This window comes from Homo sapiens, chromosome 6 (assembly GCF_000001405.40).
Source record: "Homo sapiens chromosome 6, GRCh38.p14 Primary Assembly".
Lineage (NCBI taxonomy): Eukaryota > Metazoa > Chordata > Mammalia > Primates > Hominidae > Homo > Homo sapiens.
The window spans coordinates 76,448,519-76,454,518 of NC_000006.12; the positions used below are offsets into that span (position 1 = coordinate 76,448,519).

Genomic DNA, 6,000 nt, shown 5'->3' on the forward strand with positions numbered 1-6,000 from the left:
ATTGAATAAACAGTATAGTTTATTTAATATGCCTTTTCACTGTGTCTCATCATATTGGTGATACCGAAATATTCTTCTTCTGAGATAGATTTGGGATCTAAGGGCAGGCATGTTGTAATCTGAGGGAGAGGGGCTGACTAGTTAATGTCATAGACTTTTGAGTCTGTTGATTCATTTTCTATCCTGTAGAATGAGCAGTTAAGAATTCTAGCTGGCCCAGGTTCTGCCTACTGGTATAATTTCTATATCTGATGTCCTTCAGAGATACCCTGAAGGGAGTATTGGGGCGGATTCTCATAACGAGGCTGTTCATAATGCATAGAAATCCAGTCTGGCTCTGCCAGCATCTTTTGTAGTCCTGACTTAAAACAAAGCCTTACTTCAGCTGAGTTTCCCATATTGGTTTGAGTCATTTATGTTCTGTTGTTCAGATTCAGAGTTTTCTTTTTTTGTTGTTGTTGTTTTTCTGGGACGGAGTCTCACTCTGTCGCCCAGGTTGGAGTGCAGTGGCGCGATCTCGGCTCACTGCAAGCTCCGCCTCCCGGGTTCACGCTATTCTCCTACCTCAGCCTCCCGAGTAGCTGGGACTACAGGCGCCCGCCACCACGCCCTGCTACTTTTTAGTATTTTTAGTGGAGATGGGGTTTCACCGTGTTAGCCAGGATGGTCTCCATCTCCTTACCTCGTGGTCCGCCCACCTTGGCCTCCCAAAGTGCTGAGATATAGAGAGTTTTCTTTTAAAATATTATTGGTCTTTTTAAAAATCTTTGTTTATATTGTTTGGTTTTAGAGACTGTATTTGCAGTAAACCAAGCCAGATAACTTGTTGCATCACGGTGCTTAATGGATTTGCTTGGCTGAACTGTCAGAACTTGGTTTATTATTTTTATCCACGTCTTATCCTGGAATCCTGTCTCCATTTTTATCTACTTAATGGCTTTAGTCTTAAGGCCCAGAAGAAAAACAATGACCAGCAGAGCACAATTCCTTAATCTGCTCGTGTGTATTAAGACTAAATCATAAAATCCAGATTATGTTTTGAAGATATTTGCAAATGTGTTAAGTTGGAGCTAGGTATGGCACGCGATAGAAGGCCATTCTCTAGCTCACGAAGGAGCACATGGATAATGATTTCTTTCCATTACCTTAGTTAGTTGCACATATCCCATTATCAATATTAGTATTCAATAAGGACATCAGCCTAATTTGGAGATATATGATTATTCAAATAATTTTGTTGTTGCCATTTTGGCAGGACAAATAATTTATTGATTGGAAAGACAGTAGTCTTAAACTGCTATCCCTGATTTCCTCTTGGTCTATGTAATTTCTTCTCTTAAATCTTAAAGATACTCTGATACCTTTAAGTGGGCGATCACATCCTTTAAAGCTTCACTTTTTATGAAAATACAGACCGAATAGCCAAAGATAACAATGATAGCTGAACTATTTTGTTATTGCCAAACCAAATTGCTATATTTCTATTCCTTGATAGAGGAATCATCATTGTCCCCCAACCCAGAACTCACTTTAATTTATCCAGTTTAATGGTTTTATTTGGAATTGTTAAATATAATGTCATTTCTTATACTAATTTCTGTTGCCTTTAAGGCTATTTTGACTGCAAATAACTGAAACCCACTTAAGAGCTTAAGTAAAAGAGGAGAAATTATTATAAATGTACTCTAGTATCTCATGGAAGCCTAAAGCAGAAAGTATATTAGGCTTTAGGAAGGACATAAAACAGGAATCTAAACAGCCACACTTTTTAGTTTCTACTAAGACAGTCTCTTACCTCCTTATATCTATTTTACTGATTTATTTCTATGAACTAGAATTCTATTTGGCCACAATTCAAGTTCCGATAGTACATATCTTCAGCCACAGGATCAGTGTCTCAATTCCAGGCAACAGGGCAGAGGATTTGATTGGTCTAGTTGGGTTTATTATGCATTCATATTCAATCAGCTCTGTCTGTGAGATAGGGCCATGTAGGACAGAGAGAACTGTATAACCATAGGAACTCAAGAGGGCAGAATTTAGAATAGGAGATCATGGTCTACTAGACATCCAAATAATTATCTACCACATTTTCCACTGGATAGAAACATAAATGCCATGGAACAGCATTAAATAACATCTCAGTTAAAAAAGCTCAGAGAGCCAGGCACGGTGGCTCATGCCTGTAATCCCAGCACTTTGGGAGGCCGAGGTAGGCAGATCACAAGGTCAGGAGATTGAGACCATCCTGGCTAACATGGTGAAACCCCATCTCTACTAAAAATACAAAAAATTAGCCAGGAGTGGTGGCAGGCGCCTGTAGTCCCAGCTACTTGGGAGGCTGAGGCAGGAGAATGGCGTGAACCCAGGAGGTGGAGCTTGCAGTGAGCCGAGATCGCGCCACTGCACTCCAGCCTGGGTGACAGAGCGAGACTCCGTCTCAAAAAAAAAAAACCAAAAAAGCAAAAAAAAAAAGGTCAGAGAGTTTGATAGTTTTATCCAGATTGACATGTAGGCTGCACTTGATTTTGAGGATAACTTTGAAATATTGAACTCAAAATAGTATTATTATTATTTCGATTTTATTTTCTAATGTGTGCATAATAACCACATGGGTTTAGCTTTGTCTCAAAATGTAAATTAATTTTTAAGCTCATGTCTGAGTAGCTTTGTCTTTCCTAGTTTATTTCACTTCATTCTTTCTTGGCTAGATTTCATTGGCTAGTAGTTTTATGAACAAAGCTCACTGATGCTGTAATCCTGTCTACTTGAGAATGTCTGATTTTATTTTTCTAATAGTTGAAGAGTGACTTGGCCAGACAGAATCCTTTAGTCCTACCATATTTTCCTCAAAATTTTGGAGACTGTGCTTCACTCTCTACCTGCCTGTAGTGTTGTTGTAGAGAAGTTTGATACAGTCTGATTATTTCCTTTTGCTTGGAGTGTGCTTACCCTACCTTAAGTTCCACGTAATTGTTTTCCTTATCATGAAAGTTCCATAAATTCATCAGGATATAACTTGGGATTGATTATGTTTGTCAGTATTTCTTAGGACATGATGTGCTAATATTTCAGGGAGGTTATATTATAAAATACTTTTGAATGTTGATGAGTTCTCTTTTTCAGGAATAACAAATAAGCATATTTTGGATCTTCTTTGCTATCATTTTCTAGATAAAGGCTGTCTATTCTACCCTAAAACTCTGTTATTACACATTTCATTTCATTTACCAACCTATTATGCCTTTTCTTGGATTTTAGTCATGTTATTTTATTTTGATTACTACCTAGTGTTCTTCTTGATGATTTTCTGCATTGCCCTTGTCCTTCTTTACTGAGTTCTGCTAGCTTATGTTTCATCTTCTGTCTTCATGCAATTGTCAGAGGATCCTTTGGGTGTTGCCTCACCAGCCAGAAACCTCTGTGGCCAGTGGTGCCTCTACTTGAGTTTTACTCATGCCTGCTGGACTCATTCTGCCCACTCAGCCCGGCAGGCTGTGCTTGGCTTGTGCTACCAGCCTGGATCTTATGCCTGCGAAGGGTAAGCCAGGTGTGGAGTGGCGAGGGGTGTGTGAGTGAGTGAGCGCGGGGTCTGGCCATTGCGCACAGCCAGGCACGCCAGCTGCTGCAGCGAGGCAGGCAGCCCCGGGCACCATCACAGGTGCCAACTGTGTTACAGGCTAGGCCAGATCACAAGCAGCTTCTGCTGTGGGCACCAGTGTCTGGACGAGGGGAACGCAGTAGCACCTGGAAACTAGGAGACATCAGGAACCTCAGAGCCACAAAGAGGGTGTTAAAGCATGTCACAGCCCTGGCGTGGGGAGCCGTGAGGTCTGGGCTCCCAGAAGGGCTGCAGCTCTTCTCTGCTTCTCATCACCTGCAGTGCAGTGAGTGGGGGAGGTATGTTTTGGGGGGATGTGTTTCACCCCATTTGTGTTACATCTCTTTCAGTTTGGTCATCCCACTCCAGCCCGCGGCTCCAGGGCTGGCCTAGCTCCCGCCACTGCTTCCGGTCATGTGGAGCGCCTGCCCTGCGCTGGCAGAGGGCAGGAGGGCTGTAGTGTCACAGCCCCTTTAGCTCCTGCCCATAGCTTGGCAAGCAAGCCAGGGAAGTGTTACAGCTCCTTTCGCTCTGCCCTTTGGTGGGTCCTGAGTTCTTGTCCTGCATCCAGGAAGAAGGAAGTTACACAGACAACTGGAGGGTGAACAAGCTTTACTGGGAGCTGCTGGGCTTTACTGGGAGCTTTACTGGGAGACAGAAGAGTGCTCAGCAAAGAGGAGACCCGAAGTGGGCAGCTCTTATCTGCAGACAGGTAGTACCAATGAATGTAGAGGATACCTCAGTTGGGTAGTTCCTATCCGCAGACAGGTAGACCCCACAGATGTCCGACTGAGTCTGGCTCAGTGGGTGGTGGAGTGGGGTGGGGGTGGGGATGGGGCTTTATGGGCTCTGAATGGAGGAAATGCATGCTGGTTGGCACATGGGCAGGAGGAAGTGTGTGCTGATTAGTCCATGGGTGGCCATGGGTGAGTGTGGAAAAAACCCTATTTAATTAGCCAAAAGGCATCAAGGAAGTTCTCACTCCAGGTTGCAGACTCCACTGCGAACTGGCAGCCTGGCCCCCAAGGTTCAGACCACCCTGGCTTGAAGTTGAGGTTTCACTGGGGACTCACCTCTTTCTGCCCAGGAACCTGTCTTCTTCCGACCGCCATCAACATACTGTCTACAGCACCCAGGCTGTCCGCACTGAGGGACGCCCACAGGCCCGTGTCCAGCTGCCCTCAGCACTCAAGAGTTTCCCTCCCATGTACCTTGGTGCCCCAAGTCCAAAACAGGCCAAGGCGGCAGGTGGCTGGCATGTCAGAGCCACCCTGAGCGTGTGCACACCTCGCCAGGTCGTGACAGTGCCTAGGTTTGACCACAACTTTGCTCTGCAGTGGAGCAGGCGCCTAGAGCAGGGAGATGCTAGGAAGCAGGAGCAGGCAGGCTTCCCGGGCCCCAGGGAGTGCGGGAATGCCTGTGTCCAGAGCTGTGGCTGGGTGGCTGCAGCTGTGCCCAGTAGCACAGGCTCCTGCCCCGCCAACTTGACGGGGTGCGGGGTTCCCGCCGGAATCACCTGTTCCTATCTCCTGCCAGCTCCGCAAAACACACAGCCCCAGCCACACCTTCCCTGCTGTAGCCAGTGTCTTTGCAGTGGCCACTCCAGATGGGCTGCCACTGCCATCATCCTTGAAACTCTGTATCCCTTCCTTGAACCTTATCCCTTTGTGGTACAATCAGTTTGTTGTAATTTGAGATTGGAAAAACATGGAGAAATTTTATTATTTAGCTTGTTCATATACTTTTTTCCGCTTTATCTATTCTTAGGTTCATGTTAGTTGTACTTTGAACATTACTCATGTTTAAATGGGATCAGATTATATTTTTATGTGAATAATGTGGAACAACTTTGGTAGCTGTTCCAGTCAACTGTGAGCTGCTGCAGTCTCAAGCTTTTTGGGACTTACTGTCTCAAACATTCTCTTACCAAATCTACAATCTTCTTTGCCCTGGATGCACATCAGCTTTCAATATTGCGTGTGTGTGTGTGTGTGTGTGTGTGTGTGTGTGTGTGAAATTAATGGTTTCTAAGCAATACTCACTAAACCTCTAGCTTTCTGATTTGAAATCTCGTTGTTTCTCCTTACCTTTACCTTCCTACTGTATTCTCCATTTTTCTATTTTCTTGGTTTACTCTCTACTTTTAGTGGGACTTATCATTCAGCTATTTATTAGAAGATGATATATTTGAGTAAAATTTTGAGAGCTTACATTCATGAAAATATCTTTGTCTTTCCCTCAAACGTAATTGATAATCTGCCTGGGTATAGAATACTGAATCTAGAATATGGAAGACTTTATTCAAGTTTCCAAAGTTGCCATTAAGAAGTCTGATGATTTTGGATTTCCAGTCTTTGTATTTACATTTTTTCCTCATTGCTTTGAAAAACTTCTAATTT

General features: G+C 43.8%; 1 annotated feature.

Moving 5' to 3' along the window:
• Positions 3,129–3,629: an enhancer, noted in NCBI's record as "H3K4me1 hESC enhancer chr6:77161364-77161864 (GRCh37/hg19 assembly coordinates)". NCBI's record gives its function as "activates a minimal SCP1, AML or CMV promoter by ChIP-STARR-seq in naive H9 embryonic stem cells {active_cell/tissue: H9 hESC(naive)}" and the evidence as "EXISTENCE:reporter gene assay evidence [ECO:0000049][PMID:30033119]".